The sequence below is a fragment of the Homo sapiens genome, chromosome 1 (assembly GCF_000001405.40).
Source record: "Homo sapiens chromosome 1, GRCh38.p14 Primary Assembly".
NCBI classification, from domain to species: domain Eukaryota; kingdom Metazoa; phylum Chordata; class Mammalia; order Primates; family Hominidae; genus Homo; species Homo sapiens.
Genome location: NC_000001.11, coordinates 6,640,508 through 6,661,539, shown reverse-complemented (window position 1 = coordinate 6,661,539; position 21,032 = coordinate 6,640,508). Strand labels below are relative to the sequence as shown.

Genomic DNA, 21,032 nt, shown 5'->3' with positions numbered 1-21,032 from the left:
CCTGGAGAAGAAGAGTGGTCTTGGCAATCGGGATAGAAGGCATAGAGGGATTCAAAGGTAAAACAGCTGTTTGTCTTGAAATGAGTATCCGTCGGAGGGCTGTTTTCACCCCCTCATGTCAGCATAATCGCTCACAAACAAGGTTTCAGAATTAAAGACTACTGTTTATACGGGGAGGACAGGCTCTGACTTCCATTTGAGATAAAGTGATTCTGTGGGAAGCGTCATGAGTGCCATGCTGGGTTCACCAGTTATAAAACAGGTGAATTTCACATTGCCTCGTATCACCTCTTTTGGTGGAATTTTCAGTTAGTAAAGAGTTCCTTTTGAGATTGCAGTTGACAGAAATTTCTTATGTTACCCTCATGGCCAGATAAATATAAACATGAAAATCATTCCACCTGGGTGGTGGTGAATGTGTTAACGTGATTGTGACCATCACTACACAGTGTCTGCGTGGATCAAATCAGCACACTGTACACCTGGCACGTGTGCAGTCTCTATTTGTCAGTTAAATGTTTTACATGTTTTTAAGAAGATTTGAAACCAAAAAATAAAGAATTTAGAATGGTACATTCCTGGCTGAATAAACAACTGATTCTACTCAACGAGTACAAATACATCATTTCCTACCTGGTAAGAAGTTTCTCATTGTGGGAGAAAGGCTGTAACTCAGGCTCAGAATTTCTGAGTGATGTCAGTGAAGACGTGTTTATCACATTCACAGTTGACCCAAGGCAGAAGGTTCTAAAAGAGCCCAGTGAACAAGAATGAAGGGATTAAACTGCAAAATAACATTTAACAGGGAGAAATGTGCTAGCTACGAAAGGGGGGAATCAGGGAAAATGGTCATCTTTCGTTGACTTGGTTTAATATTAGCAATTTTGTGGGTTGGAGGTGGGTAAAAATGGTTGATTTATTCGCAAAGTAATTTAATTTGGGTGCCTGTAATGTGCCAGACACTTTAGGAATGTGAACATTCCGCAGAGAATAAAACAGACAACCTAATCCTGCCATGAAGCTGAATAATCTAGTTGAGGGACAGAGAAGCTGCAGTAAATGCAATATATAAATTATATATTAAGACTGGGCGTGGTGGCTCATGCCTGTAATCCCAGCACTTGGGCAGGCCGAGGCAGGCAGATCATCTAGGTCAGGAGTTCAAGACCAGCCTGGCCAACATGGCAAAACCGCGTCTCTACTAAAAATACAAAAATTAGCCGGGCTTGGTGACGTGCTCCTGTAGTCACAGCTATTTGGGAGGCTAAGGCAGGAGAATCACTTGAACCTGGGAGGCAGAGGTTGCAGTGAGCTGAGATCTCGCCACTGCACTCCAGCCTGGGCAACAGAGTGAGATTCTGTCTCAAAAAAAAAAAAATTATATATTAGAAGGAGAGAGAAATGATGTGGGGGGTACATAAAGCGAAGGAAGTGGGGAAGGCTGCAGTTTTTTTGTTTTGATTTTGGTTTTTTTTTTTGTTTTTGAGACAGAGTCTTGCTCTGTTGCCCAGGCTGGAGTGCAGTGGCGCAATCTCGGCTCACTGCAAGCTCCGCCTCCCGGGTTCATGCCATTCTCCTGCCTCAGCCTCCCGAGTAGCTGGAACTCCAGGCGCCTGCCACCACGCCCAGCTAATTTTTGTATTTTTAGTAGAGGCGGGGTTTCACCTTGTTAGCCAGGATGGTTTCGATCTCCTGACCTCGTGATCTGCCCGCCTCAGCCTCCCAAAGTGCTGGGATTACAGGCGTGAGCCACCGTGCCCGGCCTTGGTATTGTTTTTGAGACAGAGTTTCACTCTTGTTGCCCTGGCTGGAGTGCAGTGGCACTGTCCTGGCTCAGTGTAACCTCCACCTCCTGGATTCAAGCAATTCTTCTGCCTCAGCCTCCGAGTAGCTGGGACTACAGGTGCATGCCACCATGCCCGGCTCATGTTTTTGTGTTTTTAGTAGAGACGAGGTTTTACTATATTGGCCAGGCTGGTCTCAAACTCCTGACCTCAGGTGATCCACCCGCCGCGGCCTCCCAGAGCGCTGTGATTACAGGTGTGAGCCACCATGCCCAGCCTGCAGTTTTAATTAGAGTAGTCAGGCTTCACTGAAAAGGTGCCACTGGAGGAAGGATGGGAAGCAGATGACAAAGTTAGCCACGTGGCCATCTGGTGAAGAGTGTTGCAGATAGAGGGCAGAGCCAACGCAGAGGCCAAAATGGAGAGGTGAATCTGGTATGTTCAAGGAACAGCAAAGAGGCCAGTGTGTCTGGAACGATGAGAGAAGACATTAGTAGGAGTTGAAGACATTAGTAGGAGTTGAAGACATTCCATTTCCCCAATGTGAAATAGGGACCAGGCTTAATGTGTGATGGTTCAAGAGACAAGAACCAATAGCAACAAGTCAGTGTTACTGGGAGATGATTTGGGGTTAATATAAGGAACATTGAGCAAGTTGGGCTGCTGGGGACTCATGGAAACTGCTTTGATCCACTGTCTAGTCATGAACACAATGTGATGAGGACCTCTGTCTTCCAACAGGTAGCAGTGGGTGGGATGTGTATGTAATTTAAATAAAAACTAAGTCTTACAGACTATTTGCAGAGCCAGTGCAGGACTAGACCCAGGGCCGGCAGGCATTGCTCCTATCTGGGCTGTATTAACTTGGATCAGGAATTATAGGGGCCATTGATGACATCTGCTGGCCAGGGGGGCAGCAGTTGGCCTGTGAGTATTGATGTCATATGGTTATGTTGGTTCCTCCCAAGGGAGAAGCAGCTGAGGTTTACGGACACAAGAACTCTACTAATTTAAAAATAGGCCTATAAAGAATTTCTCTATAAAGTAAGTTTTTAGATAGCTTTTTGTTTGGAAGTCCTTAAGATATGGGGAATTTTTTTTTTCAATTTTTTTTGTCAGAGTAATATGTGTACAAGGTTCAAAAGTCAGGTATTTACTAGACTTATAAAGAAAAGCCCTGCCGCTCCCCGCTTTCTACTCCTGACTCCTGTTCCCTTAAGGCAGCCACTCCCAGCTCTTGGAGCTGTTTCTTCTGTCATGTTTACATGGTTCTCTCAGTTTCTTCAGTTTTCAGTCTACCCAGTGTAATTATAATTGGATTACATTAATATTCACTATATACATTGCGGTGACCATATAATTACTCAGTTGACCCAGATCATATACCAGGATTACCTAGCCTTTCTTAACACTTTTTCCTCTGTGTTATTAGTAATTGTCTCATTCGTTTCCTTTGATTAGTTTTCTGTAAATCTGTCACAAAGTCATCTCCAGACTCTCTTGTCAGAGCTGAAACGTTCCTCCCAGTTTCATTAGACGCTTCAGGTATTGTGTCACTCATTCTGATCTCAGTGGCATCCCGGAGCCCTCAGTCCCCAGATCCCGTCTGAAGGTGTCACTCCATTGCTGCAATCTCACGATCAAGCTGGAGCAGATGAGGAGTATCGATGCACAGAAATGGTGGTTTCTTGAGATGGAACCTAGTCCTGGTGAAGATTCTGTGATCACTGTTGAAATGACAACACAGGATTTGAAACATAAGTTAGCTGATAAACCTATTTTCACTTGGTTATCTTTAAATCCCAGAGTCTGGCTGGGCATGGGGGCTCACGCCTGTAATCCCAGCACTTTGGGAGGCCAAGGTGGGCAGATCACGAGGTCAGGAGATCGAGACCATCCTGGCTAACACGGTGAAACCCCGTCTCTACTAAAAATACAAAAAAATTAGCCGGGCGTGGTGGCAGGCGCCTGTAGTCCCAGCTACTCGGGAGGCTGAGGCAGGAGAATGGCGTGAACCCAGGAGGCAGAGCTTGCAGCGAGCCGAGATCGTGCCACTGCACTCCAGCCCAGGCGACAGAGCAAGACTCCATCTCAAAAAGAGTAGGAATCATTATTTGGGGCATGTATCTACAGACTTTAGTCTGTTCACCAACCCTGTCTATCTCCAGTATCAGTGGTCTGATTATGTGCTGCTGTATAACCATTTCCAAACTTGGTGGCTTCCAACAATAATTCCATACTGTCTCACAGTTCTGTGGATTGGCTGGGACTTGACTGTGATGGGATGGTGCTCACAGGGGTTGCAGTCAGATGGCAGCTGGGTCTCATCCTCAGAAGGCTGGCTGGTCTGCATGTCAGCAGTGGCTTCTGCATTCATGTCTCACACACCTCAGCGGAGGTGGCTGGCATCGCTGTCTCTCTAGGCAACCTCTCCCCGGGCCAGCTCAGGCTTCCTTGCCAACAGCAGTCTCTGGGTAGTTGGACTTAATACGTATTAGCTAGTGTCCCCCAGATAGTGCATTTTAGAGACCTGGGCCAAGCTGCAAGGCTTCTCGTGAGCTGGTCTTGAAGTCAGCACCATCACATCCACGCATTCTGTTGGACAAAAGCAAGTCTGAGAGTTGCTTTTGTGAACCTGAGAGGTTCAGGATCAAGGAGAGGGCTCTGTACAAGGGTGTGAGTACCCGCAGGCATGGTTCCTTAGGAGGCCTTTGATCTGACTTCCACAGTGTGTCACACTATTTTTTGAAGAGTGTATTTCCTGTGTCTTTTTCTTTTATAACATTGCCTACCATCTTTATGAAAGTTGCATTTATATTTAGCAAGTTATATTTTACTTTGAGATAGGGTCTCATACTATCACCCAGGCTAGAGTGCAGTGATACAGTCACAGCTCACTGCAGCCTTGGCCTCCTGGGCTCAAGGAATCCTCCCACCTCCCAGTGGAATCCTCCCAGTCTCCTAGGTGACTGGGACCACAGGCGGATACCACCACTCCCAGCTAAACTTTTTTTTTTTTTTTTTGGTTTTAGTTTTTTTTGTGGAGACAGAGTCTCAACATGTTGCCTAGGCTGGTCTCGAACTCCTGGGCTCAAGCAATCCCTCCACCTCAGCCTCCCAAAGTACTGGGATTGCAGGAGTGAGCCACAGCACTCAGCTGAAATTTTTGACACATTTAATTGATTCATCTCTGTATATCATATTTTTAATTTAGAAAATATTCTCTCAATTCTAAATTTCTTCATATTAGAACATAAAAATATCTTGGCCCAAGTATTTTGACAGGTATTGTCTTTTTAACTTTATTCACAACAGTTTTCTTTGACACATTTTTCTAAATCATCTTTATTTATGATCTTTTGAATGTTTTATCAAATTTAGATGCTATAAAACTGTAGACCTTTTCAATTCCATTTCATTCTTGAACAGAATATAAATTTACCTAATTAAACATGACAGCTCCACCAAGATTCCTACACAAAATAAAGATACTCCAAAATGCCGTTATGGAATTTCAAAATTGTATCTCATTATATCTCATAAACTCTTATTTATTTTGTATGGTTTTTTTCCCCCTAAAAAGATCAGCTTCAGATTATTTTTCATTACAAGCTTTATTTTCAGTGATTGTAATTTTTTTTTTTTTTTTTTTTTTAGACGGAGTCTTGTTCTGTTGCCCAGGCTGGAGTGCAGTGGCACAATCTTGGCTCACTGCAACCTCTGCCTCACAAGTTGAAGCAATTCTCCTGCCTCAGCCTCCTGAGGAGCTGGGATTATAGGTGCGCACCACCACGCCCGGCTAATTTTTGTATTTTTAGTAGAGATGGGGTTTCACCATGTTGGTCATGTTGGTCTCAAACTCCTGACTTCGTGAGCCGCCTGCCTCGGCCTCCCAAAGTGCTGGGATTACAGGCATGAGCCACCACACCCGGCCTGTTCTTGTTTTTGAGACAGAGTCTTGCTCTGTCACCCATGCTGGAGTGCAGTGGCGCAATCTTGGCTCACTGAAACCTCCACCTTTCAGGTTCAAGCAGTTCTCCTGCCTCAGCCTCTAGAGTAGCTGGGACGTGTACCTGGCTAATTTTTGTATTTTTAGTAGCAACAGGGTTTCTACCACGTTGGCCAGGCTGGTCTCGAACTCCTGACCTCAGGTGATCCCACTCCCTCAGCCTCCCAAAGTGTTGGGATTACGGGTATTAGCCACCACACCTGGCCACAGATTGTTCATATACTGCCATGCAGTTTTGTTGATTATTCAGAATCATCATCATGACAGAGATGTGTTCATGCTGTTACTCTGTGAATATAAAAAATTTGTAAATTTTGGCAACTACAACTTCATTTTCCATGGGTAGAATACCACAGCTTGTTTTGACACAATTATGCATTATGCGTATCACTACAACTAATTCTAAGGATGTTTCTAGTCCATGGGTTTCTTGATTTAATAAGAAAATTTTTTACCATAACACTATACTGCCTCCAAGTTGGTATTTGAATATCACCGCAAAAACAAACACGTTTACCTTTAATGTGGAACTTTTTGATTGAGTTTATAGTAGCATTCATAATGTCAGGTGTTTCACCCTCAACAGAAATCAAGTAATTATTAGGGTTAATGCATTTTCAGATTGAAGCATCTGATAGAAAGCTAGCACCAGCTGGGCGCGGTGGCTCACACCTGTAATCTCAGCACTTTGGGAGGCCGAGGCGAGTGGATCATGAGGTCAAGAGATCGAGACCATCCTGGTCAACATGGTGAAACCCTGTCTCTACTAAAAATACAAAAATTAACTGGGCATGGTGGCGTGCGCCTGTAGTCCCAGCTACTCGGGAGACTAAGGCAGGAGAATCGCTTGAACCCAGGAGGCGGAGGTTGCAGTGAGCCAAGATCGTGCCACTGCACTGCACTGGACTAATGGCTAATGTTGCCTGGTGACAGAGCGAGACTCCATCTCAAAAAAAAAAAAAAAAGAAAAGCTAGCAAAAAAACATTGTTTCAATGGGCTGCAAAAAGTTTAGTTAAAAAAATGTGTGTGGCCATGGTTTTATATACTGGATTAAGATAATGTCCGTTTTTAAAGTTGTGACTATCAAAGAATAATAAACATTGATTTTCTGAGTAACAAGCATTTTTATCAGCAAAATTTTAGCTTAGAATTCCTTGAGCAAATACAGTGTTCTGTTTCTCAAACTTAATTCTCATTAATTTGAGAAGGTGGATTAATTTTAAAGTCTCCCATTTGTTCATAATTTGTGCTGCTTTATCTTTGAAGGTATTTTTATTTAAAGAGTTTTAGGGTAGTTTTGTGGTATAAGGTTGTTTACCAAAAAATGTTTAATCCATGTAGCTCATTTCTAGGTGGTTTTGTGCATTCTTGGGTCCTGTTTGGTCTCTGAAAATCAAACTGTCTAGCTCTTACTCCTTTGACTAACACTTTTGTCTTTGGCGTGTCATTGCTCTGCAGACATGCGGACCGGCTCTCCTGGTCAAATGATGTTTTCTAGCTCTGGACGTCTGTGGTGCTCTGCAGTTTGGTTCGGACTGTGACATTCATGCTTTGTGGGCTTCCTGGTGGAGTGTCCTACCTAAACCCAGTGAACCCTGAAGTCAAATGACTTGTTCAATTAAAGCGAGCTGGCTGTTGAAGTGTAGCATTGTCTTTCATTCCACAAATACCACCCGTTCTGCTGACGGCTTGTTTTTCTGCCCCAGGGAACGATCAGCGTTGGAGTAGATGCCACCGACCTTTTTGATCGCTATGATGAGGAGTATGAAGATGTGTCCGGCAGTAGCTTTCCGCAGATTGAAATTAATAAAATGCACATATCCCAGTCCATTGAGGTAAAGCACACAACCACCTCTCCGAGTACAGCAAGGGCTCGAGTTAATGAGGCACAGCACACCAAGCAGCTGGAATGAGAGTCTGCCCAGGGTTTTTCTCATCTTTATTTATGAAAGGATGCAATTAGCCACTTAAAAAAGAAAGCGCTTCATTCCCAGCCGTGTGTTACCGCTGTGCTGGCATGTGAGCCAGCAGGAGTGTGGGCTGGGGCACTTGGCTCCCAAGGTCTTGGGCCTTTCCAGCAGAGGGTGTTAATGGTCTGGGAGAAGTAGAGGCCCAAGGTCATGGGGTTCTGGGAGAGAAAGCAGACCTCCATGGATCATTCTAACAACCAGTTTTAGTTTTAAGGCAAATTCTGCTAGGTGCCGCAAGGCTATAGCAGCTCTCATCCTGAGCCCTGGGCACGCGAAAATGTCACCATTCTGCCCACTATTTGGATGTGACGAGGTCAGGTCATTCTCCTGAGCGTTTATAGTAGGTCTTTGTCTCCTCAGCTCATTAATTTATTCTCCATTGCATCAGCCAACAACGTGGAGTCCTAACTTGGGGAAATTTGCCCCCTCTTGGAGCTCCCTGAGTCAGTTGATACAGAATACAGCCATGGGAAGGTCTTCAGTCCCCCTGGAACCCTGATGGCAAACCACAGAGGGAAGGCACACAGTGAAGTCACTGTGCTATCTGATACCATTGGGACATGCAGCCCCATGTTTCCCCTGGTGTTGTGAAATGTGCCCATTAAAGCTTTTGCAAAGCATATTACCCTCGTGGTCACATGCAGACCAAATAACAAAGCGGAAGAAAAGTGAAGCTGTTGCGGCAGTTCTGCATCCATGTGTGCTTCTGAACAGAGGAATCGTCTGCACCTTTGGCCTTGGGCTCACAGTGCGTTCTTTAGGCTGCTGCCATTGGCACTTCCTGTTGTTTTGATTCATTCATTACCAGCAAATACCATTTTTAGGCACCCTTGACAGCGACAGACACAGCCATCCTCTCTGGAAGCCTCTCAACCCAGAATGGAAATGGAGGAGGTTCCATTAACTTTGCGCTCAGACGAGTAACTTCGGCAAAGGGATGGGGAGAGGTAAGAATGTCTATTGGCTGAGTTGTGTTGTCTGTGCAAAGCCTTATTTCTGAACATTTACACTCTCAAAGCTCACCCTCAAACTCACCCTGGGGGCCCCGTTGTTGTGTAAGAACGGTACCAAGTGTCAAGCTTCCATAAGTTGACTGGTCCTAAAAGAAAAATAGGTCTCATGAGCCTGGCCAACATGGTGAAACCCCGTCTCTACTAAAAATACAAAACTTAGCTGGGCATGGTGGCACCTGCCTGTAATCCCAGCTACTTGGGAGGCTGAGGCAGGAGAATCACGAGAATCACATGAACCCAGGAGGCAGAGGTTGCAGCGAGTCAAGATCGCGCCGTTGCACTCCAGTCTGGGGGACAAGAGCAAAATTCCGTCTCAAAAATAAATAAATAAATAGGTCTCATATCTGAGAAGTCCTGTCAGTCTTCCTCACAGTTTAAAATTGGCATAGAAAAACAAGGTTTCCTATGAGATGCCAACTTCTAGAAATCCAGCCTCTGAAACTCCGTGTGTTTGTTCCCTTTGAGCAAAAAGCCTGTGGGCTCTTTTTCCTGCACAATTCAGAAGGCAGGTGCTCTCTTCCGCGTGATGGTTCACTGATTGGTGGCCATTTAACAGCCAGTTCTGCCGAGCAAATTGAGCTGCATCAAATTAACATTGAAGAGTTGCTTGAAAGTCACCCAGACTAGTAAACACGGCAGCCAGGCTCAGCTGTGACTTCCAAGGCTGTGCGGGTGTGGAACCGCGGCTGGGCTTTAACATCAGGCTCCTGAGGACCGCCCCAGTGACCTGGGAGACATTTGGCGCAGGATGAAAATGAAAAGGAGTCGGCAGTGCATGCGGGGGTGGGGGGCACACCGGACCGCAGTCGGTGCTCTGCAGGTGGCGGGGGGCTGCGCCGGGAGGGGTAGGGGGAGCCAGCTGGTCTCCTGACCTCAGCCTGGGAGGCAAGGAACAGAGGGGAGCAGTTTTTTCTTTGGAGGGACACCAATGAAACATGTGCCTTTGAAGCCTGGGTCTCCTTTGGATCTGTGGCAGCAGACAGCTCCATTTGGCAAAGGTTAAGATGAGACATTAACAATCTTCCACCCCCTTCTTTTAGAGCCCTGGCAAGACCAGTGAATTGAATGAAGGAATTATACCTAGAGGTACATACCTGAGCCTGGGTTGCTGCTATGAGATAAAACACCATTAATGCCTTCTCTTTTTCCTTTTCAAACAGTTGGAATTTGGAGCTGGAGACCTACAGGGGCCTTTGTTCGGTCTCAAGCTGTTCCGTAATCTCACACCAAGATGGTAAATATGAGAGACAGCAGCTCCTCTTTGGTGGTCTTTGTTGGCTTAGGAGACTAGAACTGTGTGTTCTTTTTATCACAGTGGTTGGCACTATCTTGTCTGTCCTACAAGGTCACTGCGTACATCAAGGGCAGGTATAGCACTGGCGTGAAGCCCAGGCAGTGTGCAGGTGGGAAGAGGCAGGATTGAGGGGGCCGGACCCTTGTCCCAGCCCTGGCCAGGCTGCACCATCCAGGTCTCGCACCTCCCTTACCTATGCCACAAGGCCACGGAGAAAGAGTGCCTTCAGGGAGAGTTGGTCAGTGGACCGAAACACTTACAGACTTATGGATCGTTCCATTGTCCCAGAGAATGACAGACTGCCTCATCATCGGGTTGATTGACATATGCCAGAGATGTAGTCCCCAGCCAGCCTCTGCTTCCTGTCGTCTCTGCTGCTGCCATGTCACACTCCTAGAACTGTATATCCCTGTCCCTTCTAGAACGACAGCAGTGTCTTCATTTCCTATATGGTGGGTGCAGTGATGTCTGTGTGAGCTCAGATAAAAGAATTGGTGGAGGGTAAATAATACCTCTTTCTTCCAGAGGAAGATATAGCTGAAGGAGTCCTAGAATGGAGCACATGGAGTTTATTTTATTTATTTATTTATTTTGGAGACAGGGTCTTGCTCTGTCTTGCCCAGCCTGGAGTGCGGTGGTGTGATCTCGGCTCACTGCAGCCTCTGCCTCCTGGGTTCAAGCTATTCTCCTGTCTCAACCTTCCGAGTAGCTGGGACTACAGGCGTGTGCCACCACACCCAGCTATTTTTGTATTTTTAATAGAGATGGGGTTTCACCATGTTGGTCAGGCTGGTCTCGAACTCCTGACCTCAGGTGATCCACCTGCCTCGGCCTCCCAAAGTGGTGAGATTACAGGCGTGAGCCACCACGCCTGGCCTATTTTATTTTACTTTATTTTTGTTAGAGACGAGGTTTTGTTCTGTTGCCTAGGCTAGAGTGCAATAGTCCGATCATAGTCCACTGCAGCCTTGAACTCCTGGGGTCAAGCAGTCCTCCTCCCTCAGCCTCCCGAAAAACTAGGACTACAGGCGTGTGCCAACATGCCTGGCTCATTGTTTAGTTTTTTTTAGGGATAAGTTATCTCTATGTTGCCTAGGCTGGTCTCAAGCTCCTGGATTCAAGCAGTCCTCCCACCTTGGCCTCCCAAAGCACTGAGATTAGAAGCATGAGCCACTTCAGCAAGCCTGGAGTATATGTTTTTTGTTTTGAGACAGGTCTCACTTTGTCACCCCGGCTGGAGAATAGTGATGCAATCTTGGCTCACTGCACCCTCAACCTCCCAGGCTCAGGTGACCCTCCTGAGTAGCTGGGACTACAGGTGTGCACCACCATGCCTGACTAATTTTTGTAGAGTTGGGGTTTCTCCTTGTTGGCCAGGCTGGTCTCTTAACTCCTGACCTCAGGTGATCCTCCCACCTTGGCCTCCCAAAGTGCTGGCATTACAGGTGTGAGCCACTGTGCCCAGGCACAGTGGCATGAATAACTTTCTTATCAAACATGTATTGTAGGCTGTACAAACATGTACAAACATGTACAGGAGTTCGAGACCAGCCTGGCCAACATGGCGAAACCCCCTCTACTAAAAATATAAAAATTAACCAGGCATGGTGGCGCTTGCCTGTAGTCCCAGCTACTTGGGAGGCTGAGGTGGGAGGATCTCTTGAACCCAGGAGGCGGAGGTTGCAATGATCCAAGATCACACCACTGTACTCCAGCCTAAGCAGCAGAGCAAGACTGTCTCAAAAAAAAAAAAAAAGTTAGTTATTACACTTCCAATGAGACATGTATCTGTGTGCCTGCCACGCTCTGCAGGGGTTGACCTAATCCCTGCCCACTAGTCTGGTCGTTTGTCTGTGGGGCATGGGGCAGAGAACACAGGCAGGCTTGCAGGTCAGCCTGTTGTAGGGAGAGCAGGAGAAGTTGGGAGAGAGCCTGCGAAACAGGAGGACGTGGCCTGTGGGGCAGGCGGAGGCCGCTTAGGCACCAAAGCAGTGCTTCCTGGCTGAGCACGGTGGCTCATGCCTCTAATCCCAGCACTTTAGGAGGCCGAGGCGGGTGGATCACGAGATCAGGAGATCGAGACCATCCTGGCTAACACGGTGAAACTCTGTCTCTACTAAAAATGCAAAGAATTAGCCGGGAGCGGTGGCGGGCGCCTTTAGTCCCAGCTACTCGGGAGGCTGAGGCAGGAGAATGGCGTGAACCCAGGAGGCGGAGCTTGCAGTGAGCCGAGATCGCGCCACTGCACTCCAGCCTGGGCGACTCTGTCTCAAAAAAAAAAAAGCAGTGCTTCCAGACACAAGAAGAGGAAAAGGAGCCGATGTGACTCACACCTGCAATCCCAGGGCTTTGGGAGGCCAAGGTGGGAGGATTGCTTGAACCCGGGAGGTTGAGGCTGCAATGAGCTGAGATTGCACCACTGTACCCCAGCCTAGGCGACAGAGCAAGACTGCCACCGAGAAAAATTTTTTTTAAAAGATGGAAGGAATGTGGGACATGCTGCCATGGGGCATCACCTGGGTGCTGCTCACAACACAGCTCCACAGTCCCCTGCTCTACGTAATTGGATTCACCTACTGGGTCTGCAAAGGGGACCGGGATTCATACTTAGAAGAGAACAGCAGGGAAACAGCATCTGTATACACATCAGTGTTGTCCTGACCCTGTCTACTTAGATTGGTCACCCCAGATGCTGGTTAAAAGCCGCCTCGGGGGCAGGGTGTGGTGGCTCATGCTTGTAATCCCAGCACTTTAGGAGGCCAGGTGAGACGATCACTTGAGCTCAGGAGTTTGAGACCAGCCTAGGCAACATGGCAAAACCTTGACTCTACAAAAAATATAAAAATTAACCAGGTGTGGTAGCACACACCTGTAATCCCAGCTACTTGGGATGCTGAGGTGGGAGGATCGCTTGAGGCCAGGAGGTCGAGGCTGCAGTGAGCCATGATGACACCACTGCACTTCAGCCTAGGTGACAGAGCAAGACCCTCTCTCAAAAGAAAAAAGAAATGCTGGTCAGGTGCGGTGGCTCATGCCTGTAATCCCAACACTTTGGGAGGCCAAGGCAGGCGGGTCGCCTGAGGTCAGGAGTTCAAGACAAGCCTGGCCAACATGGTGAAACCCTGTCTCTACTAAAAATACAAAAATTAGCCAGGCGTGGTGGTGGGCACCTGTAATTCCAGCTACTTGGGAGGCTGAGGCAGGAGAATTGCCTGAACCCGGGAGGCAGAGGTTGCAGTGAGCCAAGATCGTGCCACTGCACTCCAGCCTGGGCGACAGAGCCGAGACTCTGTCTCAAAAAAAAGAAAAAAAGCTGCTTTGGGTCTTATGAGGGAGGGGACTGGGAATCTAGGTGTTTCAAGCGCCCCAGGTGATTCTTAAGGTCACACAAGCTTGGGAGACACTTCATTAAGCAAAATCTTTTGGCCGTTTTGTTCTGGTTGAGCCTCAGTGTCTATTCATTGAGTGGTCACCAAGAGTTTGGGGTGGACTGATCATCAGCATTTACAGGTTTGGAAATTGAATTTAGTTTTACTACTCAGAGCTTATTAGACTTGAGCAGATTTAAACGGAAGGACAACTGATTTATAAACAAGGGGGTGATGTGTGACCAAGGATGCCAGCTTCTTTTTTTTGTTTGTTTTGTTTTGTGTTTGAGACGGAGTCTTGCTCTGTCACCAGGCTGGAGTGCAGTGGCGCAGTCTTGGCTCACTGCAACCTCCACCTCCCAGGTTCAAGCTATTCTGCCTCAGCCTCCCAAGTAACTGGAACTACAGGCACATGCCACCACGCCTAGCTAATTTTTGTATTTTTACTAGAGACGGGGTTTCACCATGTTGGCCAGGATGGTCTCAATCACTTGACCTTGTGATCCACCCACCTCGGCTTCCCAAAGTGCTGGGATTACAGGCGTGAGCCACCGCGCCCGGCCTACTAGCCCAGTTTCTTAATATATAGTGGCCAGGTTAGTTATGGATGTCTGCTAACCACGGTCCTCTAATCCTTGGATCAAGTTGCAGATGTTCCTTGATTTACGATGGAGTTACGGCCGAATAAGCCATCTTAAATCAAAAATATCGACCTGTTGGCTGGGCACAGTGGCTCGTGCCTATAATCCCAGCACTTTGGGAGGCTGAGGCAGGTGGATCACCTGGGGGCAGGAATTCGAGACCAGTCTGGCCAACATGGTGAAACCCCATCTCTACTAAAAATACAAAATATTAACCGGACATGGTGGTGGGCGCCTGTAGTCCCAGCTACCCAGGAAGCTGAGGCAGGAGAATCACTTGAATCCAGGAGGCGGAGGTTGCAGTGAGCTGAGAAGATCACGCTACTGCACTCCAGCCTGGACGAGCGAAACTCCGTCAAAAAAAAAAAAAAAAAAAAAAGACCTGTCCAGGCTCAAGTGCTCCTTCCTCCTCAGTCGCTGAGACTACAGGGCGTGCCGCTACACCTGGCTAATTTTGTGTCTTTTTTGTAGAGATGGGGGTTTTGTCATGTTGTCCAGGCTGTCCTTGAACTCCTGGGGTGAAGCAATTTGCCTCCTCAGCCTCCCAAAGTGCTGGGGTTACAGGTGTGAGCCAATGAGCCTGCCTACTGTTATTTTAATGGCATAAACATCACCTCCAGAGCTTAGAAAGGAGAGAAAGAAACTTAGGCAATTGATGTGGAGCTCTTTATTAAAGAAACCAGCTGTTAGTTTACCCTTCAGCACCTTGAATGAAGTGTGAATTTCTGTTAGTAAAATGAAATACCTCTTTTCAACCAGAAGATGGGGCTGGACTCCCTTGGAAAGAAACTGCAGAGGCTCTTTTCGGGAACCGGTTTCCTGTGCTCGCTTTGCCTGTAGTTTCTGTCACTAGTACCCAGCTGTGGTCACTAGTACATCAGAAATCACACAGCAGCTCCAAAAATATACTGATGCCTCCACCCAGAAATTCTGGTTCCATAGGTCTGGGGTGTCCTCTAGGTAAGTGATTCTCAAACTCTACTGCACATTGGAATCATTGGGACACTTAGCACTCCAAGCCCACACTGAAGGAATCAGCATGCCGGCGAAGAAGCCACCAGCCGTGATTTGTGGATGAGCCAGGTGATTCCAGCGTGCAGTATGAGCACCACTGTCTTGGACTGCTTAATATGAGACCCTCCGTTGGTGATTCTGACTTGCACTCCTCGGCCCCCATCCATTCTAACTTGAGTGGGGTTGCATCTGCTGGCATAGGAATGCAGACAGTCAGGTGCCTATTTGGTTGTAGCTAAAGTTAGGGCGGCTGAGGGGAGTCGGGAGGTTACTAGGAAGATTCTGGCTAGGACCCTCCCCCTCTGTGTGGATAGAGGCCTGACCTCCTGCTTTTTTTTTTACTGGGAGCTGGCCCAGGGATGCATAGACGTGACAGTAAGTGAGGTCTTAGCCAGGCAGAGAGGAAGTAACAGAACAGCTGAGAGCAGGTGCTATCCAGGACCTATTCTGTCTCTGTGTCTCTCCAGCTTTGTGACAACAAACTGTGCTCTGCAGTTTTCATCCCGTGGAATCCGACCCGGCCTGACCACTGTCCTAGCTCGGAACCTAGACAAGAACACCGTGGGCTACCTGCAGTGGCGATGGGGTATCCAGTCAGCCATGAACACTAGCATCGTCCGAGACACTAAAACCAGCCACTTCACTGTGGCCCTGCAGGTGAGCCGAGCAGCCATCATCTCCTGCAGACAGAGCTCTGGGAGGACCCCTCCTCCCAAGCACTCAGTGCTCCCCTTAAATCCTGCGTCCTGATCACCACTAAGTCTAAGCCCATACAGGGCCCTGAGGGGCAGGCTCTCGGTGCTCACACTCGAGTGACCTGGTGGAACCTTCGAGTATGAAATGCAGTTGCCTTCAGGCGCCTGGGGCAGCTTTGTTGGATCATCTTAAAGCAGAACAACATCTTAATGTCTGGTGGGAGCCACCCACGGAATTGGGGGCGGGCAGATGAAGCCCCATAGCAGAATCATGCCCTCGGACGCCCCTGTGGCCACACCAGGGCTGGTACATGAGAAGCCCCACACGGGCCACTGCTCCTTGGCTCTCACCAGCCGCTGCCACCTAGGAGCATAGGCTCAGTGTCACCAGAGTTTTTTATTTCTTGTGAGAAGCTAGAAAACTGGGTTTTCAGTGAAGTCTCCCACTTTTTAATTACTGGCTGCTAATAAATCATGGTGCACTCACTGCGGCTGCCAGACCGTGACCCCTGCCTTAAAGGCCTGTGTGCAGCAGATGCCCAGAGCTAGTGGGAGGGCAGATACCCATCTCCCCACAGAGTCACACGCCCTAGCCACGCATCCTTGCACCCTCTGTCTCCCCAGCTGGGAATCCCTCACTCCTTTGCACTGATCAGCTATCAGCACAAATTCCAAGATGACGATCAGACTCGTGTGAAAGGATCCCTCAAGTAAGTCCTGGCCTGGCTAAAATGGAAGCACACTGGTACTGCATGCGGGTCTTCACAGTGGAACCAGTTGGTGTAAGACACCTTGCTCGTGTGAATATCTACGTGTGTGTGACATTTTTGGAGAGCTTCCTATTTTGAGGCTGTGGGGGATTTAACACTACAGTCCCAGCCCTTGAGGAGCTTAGAGAGTGTTGTGGAAGAACTAGACCATGGGTGTCCCAACTTTCTTCTGTCATGAATCTGCTCCCTGGGGGTCGAGGAGGCTGGAGGGAGGGAAGGGAAGGTACCTGGCCTCTTCTCAAATGACAGCTGCCCCTGAAGTGATGAATGAGGGGCACAGGCACAGACCGCGTTCTCTCCCTGCAGAGCAGGCTTCTTTGGGACGGTGGTGGAGTACGGAGCTGAGAGGAAGATCTCCAGGCACAGCGTTTTGGGTGCAGCTGTCAGCGTTGGAGTTCCACAGGGTGTTTCTCTCAAAGTCAAGTAAGTTGAACTTAGGCCTTTCGGGTCAAGGAATGCCTGTCACCTTCACTCAACCAGGCTTTACCCAAGTTAAGGCTGAAATAGCCTTTGCATTGTAATTTTGTTCTTAAAGACACAGTTGCTTGGCTAGGTGCAGTGGCTTATGCCTGTAATCCCAGCACTTTAGGAGGCCAAGGCGGCCGGATCGCCTGAGGTCAGGAGTTTGAGACCAGCCTGGCCAACGTGGTGAAACCCCATCTCTACTGAAAATACAAAAATTAGCCAGACGTGGTGGCACACGCCTATAATCCCAGCTATTTGGGAGGCCGAGGCAGGAGAATTGCTTGAACCCGAAGGCGGAGGTTGCAGTGAGCTGAGATGGAGATCGTGCCACTGCACTCCAGCCTGGAGGACAGTGAGACTCCGTCTCAAAAAATATAAAAAAAAAAATTCAGCCAGGTGCCGTGGATCACGAGGTCAGGAGATCGAGACCATCCTGGCTAACATGGTGAAACCCCATCTCTACTAAAAATACAAAAAATTAGCCAGGGGTGGTGGCGGGTGCCTGTAGTCCCAGGTACTCGGGAGGCTGAGGCAGGAGAATCGCTTGAACCCAGGAGGCGGAGCTTGCAGTGAGCCAGGATCGCTCCATTGCACTCCAGCCCGGGTGACAGAGTGAGACTCCATCTCAAAAAAAAAATACAGTTGCTTGTGTCTTTGCTGAGTAAGCAAATGTCAAGCAGTGCATAGTTCCAACACCGAGTGAGTGAGGTGTACGTCTGAGCTCCAGCAGCCTCGCCTGATGTCACAGGATGCATCCTAGCAGCCCAGTCCTCCTGGAGTCACTGGCCTGGCAGCTATCCCCCGGGCACAGCATCTCCAGTAGCAGCTGCCATATCGGTTCATCCCTCTCACCAGGGGTTTCCATTGGCACACATACCCTTGCTCCACCTGAGTCTAGTCACTGTCCTCTCCTTAGTTCCTCAAAAGAGTTGTCTGGTTTTGGCCGGGCACTGTGGCTCACACCTGTAATCCCAGCACTTTGGGAGGCCAAGGCGGGCAGATCACGAGGTCAGGAGATTGAGACCATCCTGGCTAACACGGTGAAACCCCGTCTCTACTAAAAATACAAAAAATTAACCGGGCGTGGTGGCGGGCGCCTGTAGTCTCTGCTACTTGGGAGGCTGAGGCAGGAGAATGGTGTGAACCCGGGAGGCAGAGCTTGCAGTGAGTCGAGATGGCGCCACTGCACTCCAGCCTGGGCATCAGAGCGAGACTCCACTCAAAAAAAAAAAAAAAAATGTCTGTTTTCGCTTGCATCCGTCTTCTTTCTTTCTAAACGTGCTCCAGTCAGGCCTCTCCAGCAAAACCAGCCCTCTCCAGAATCAGCCTTTCTCACCTCATCAGTGGGGCACCCTCCCTCCTGTGGCAGATCAGAGGGTGATTCTTCTTCATCTCATTTGGTCTCTGCACCTGCTGTCGCGGTGGCCGTTCCCTCCTGCCCTTACAGCCTCTCTGCCCTGAGTTTCCAGGATACCACGCCCTGCTCTGGCTTTCCGTACCAGATGGCTGCTGTCTCCCAAACCCCTAAATGGAGGCACCACTGCAGGGCACAGCCCTTCTCTCTCGACTCACTCCCAAGCAGTCATGTCCAGCCTCATGGCTCTCATGCCCTGAGGACTCACGTTGCAAGTGCCAGCTTGGACCACCCCCTCAATCTCCAGCTCATATATTTGTCCAGCTTTCTCTTCCTAATCTCTACTTGGATACCTAACAGCATCTCAGATGTCACGTATCCAAACAGAACTCGATCCCTCCCTGTGCCCCCAGAAACGAAGAACCTTCAGAACCTGCTCTGCCCGAAGTCTTTCCCATCTCTCTCTCTTTTTTTATTTTATTTTTATAGAGACAGGGTCTCACTTGGTTGCCCAGGTTGGTTTTGAACTCCTGGCTTCAAGTAGTTCTCCCGCTTCGGCCTCCTAAAGTGTTAGGATTACAGGTGTGAGCCACAGCGCCCAGCCTCCTTTCCTATCTCAGTAAATGAGAGCTCTGGCCTTCTACTTGCTCTGTCCAAAAACCTTGGAGTCAGCCTCGATCTCTTTCTCTCCCACACTCCAAATCATACATATCTCAAAATCATCTCCTGAACATGTACTCCAAAATTGTATCCCCAGTCTCGCCATTTCTCAACCTCACTGCGGCCAGCATCTTTGTCTTAGTTACACAGCACCCTCCCCACGGAACCTGTCTCCCTCCTTGTGTGTCTGCTTTCCGTAGGAGAGTCCTTTTTAAAATTGAAGGCAGTTCACGTCTGTCTTCTGCCTAAAACCTCAGAGGTTCCCTCAATTCCAGTCGGAGGCCAAAGCCCTTCAGAGACTTTGGAGCCTACAATGCCCTCCGTGATGTAGTACTCCTCTCTACCCCAACCCCAGCCATCCTGACCCCCTGGAGCTATTCCTGGCACACACCAGGCCCCCTCCTGCTTATGAGGTGGCCTTTGCTATTTCTCAGTCTGCAGATAAATACGTGGCCATTTCCTTCACTCCCTGTAAGTATCTGCTGTCTGCTCAAATGTCCCCTAATTCACCTTGTATAACATAGTAGCCCTTCCCCTTGCCCCAGGTGATCCCCCCCACCATGTTTGCCATGTTCAATCTCCAACGAGCCAGTCTCCATCTGAAGGGCCATCTCCTGCACTCCTCATCAGACATAAGCTCTTGGACTTGGTCCATTTTATTCTCACCCGCACTTCTAGAACCTAAAACCCATCGTGGTACTTGAGAGGAACTCAGTGAGTGAATCAAAGTGGATCACAGCTCAGTTTTGGAAACAAAGCCAAATCACTTACCTAGATTAGAGCTGGCGTCAGCCATCTCTCCTCAGATAATATTTGAAGGCTCAGTACAGTGGCGCGCACACTTTGGGAGGCCAAGACAGGAAGATCACTTGAGCCCAGGAGCTCAAGGTGGTAGTGAGCTGTGATTGTGCCCCTCAGCCTAGATGACAGAGTGAGACCCTGTCACTTCAAAAAAAAAAAAAAATTTTTGTCTTGAAGTCTACCTTATCTGTTACTATATAGCTTTTTTAGTCTTCTTATGCTTACTATTTATTTTTTTTACCCATTCACATTTAACCTGTCTCTGTTTGTGTGTGTGTGTGTGTGTGTGTGTGTATATATATATATATATTTTTTTTTTTTTTGGAGACGGAGTTTCGCTCTTGCACCCCAGACTGGAGTGCATTTGGCTCACTGCAACCTCCACCTCCCAGGTTCAAGCAATTCTCCTACCTCAGCCTCCTGAGTAGCTGGGATTACAGGCGCCCACCACCACACCCAGCTAATTTTTGTATTTTAAGTAGAGACAGGGTTTCACCATGTTGGCCAGGCTGGTCTCAAACTCCTGACCTCAAGCGATCCTCCTGCCTCAGCCTCCCAAAATGCTAGGATTACAGGCGTGAGCCACTGAGCCTGGCCAAGTTTTGAGTGTTCTTTATCAATTCTGGAATTGCTTTTATTCTGGAAGAGCTTTTATTCTGGAAGAGTGTGATCAGGTATTGTCAGTGGCTACTCAGCATGTTTTCTTTTTCTGGCTTTTCAGCAGTTTGTGATGTACATAGATAAGGCTGTTGTTGTATTTATGATGCTTGGGGTTTCCTAAACTTCTTGCATCTGTAAATTTCCTTTTCCTCACTGGGGCTCTAATTACCAATATATTAAACTTAACACTCTTCCACGGGTTTCTGAGATTCTGTCCATGCATCCTCAGTCCTTTTCCTCTTGTTGACCAGGCTGGAGTGCTGTGGTACAATCTGCCTCCTGGGTTGAAGCGTTCTCCCGCCTCACTCAGCCTCCCGAGTAGCTGGGACTACAGACAGGTACCACCACGCCCGGCTAATTTTTGTATTTTTGGTAGAGATGAAGTTTCACCATGTTGGCCAGGCTGGTCTCAAATTCCTGACCTCAGGTGATTCGCCCACCTCAGCCTCCCAAAGTACTGGGATTACAGGCGTGAGCCACCACGCCTGGCCAAATTTTTTATATGTGGTCCAGAGTTTACACATTGGTCCAAT

The 21,032-nt window shown here is 48.2% G+C and overlaps 1 protein-coding gene across 2 annotated transcripts in view, besides 1 other annotated feature; it reads left to right on the top strand.

Annotated features, from left to right (window-relative positions):
• Nucleotides 1–21,032, top strand: part of DNAJC11 (DnaJ heat shock protein family (Hsp40) member C11) — a 67,647-nt gene that overhangs the window by 40,277 nt on the left and 6,338 nt on the right. For both annotated transcript variants that reach the window (NM_018198.4, XM_047424842.1), the window contains 6 exons: nt 7,501–7,629; nt 8,589–8,711; nt 9,938–10,011; nt 15,562–15,751; nt 16,414–16,499; nt 16,866–16,982. In NM_018198.4, the coding sequence (NP_060668.2) occupies nt 7,501–7,629; nt 8,589–8,711; nt 9,938–10,011; nt 15,562–15,751; nt 16,414–16,499; nt 16,866–16,982 (719 nt within the window). The remainder of the gene's footprint in view (nt 1–7,500; nt 7,630–8,588; nt 8,712–9,937; nt 10,012–15,561; nt 15,752–16,413; nt 16,500–16,865; nt 16,983–21,032) is intronic.
• Nucleotides 14,928–15,427: an enhancer, noted in NCBI's record as "H3K27ac hESC enhancer chr1:6706173-6706672 (GRCh37/hg19 assembly coordinates)". NCBI's record gives its function as "activates a minimal SCP1, AML or CMV promoter by ChIP-STARR-seq in primed H9 embryonic stem cells {active_cell/tissue: H9 hESC(primed)}" and the evidence as "EXISTENCE:reporter gene assay evidence [ECO:0000049][PMID:30033119]".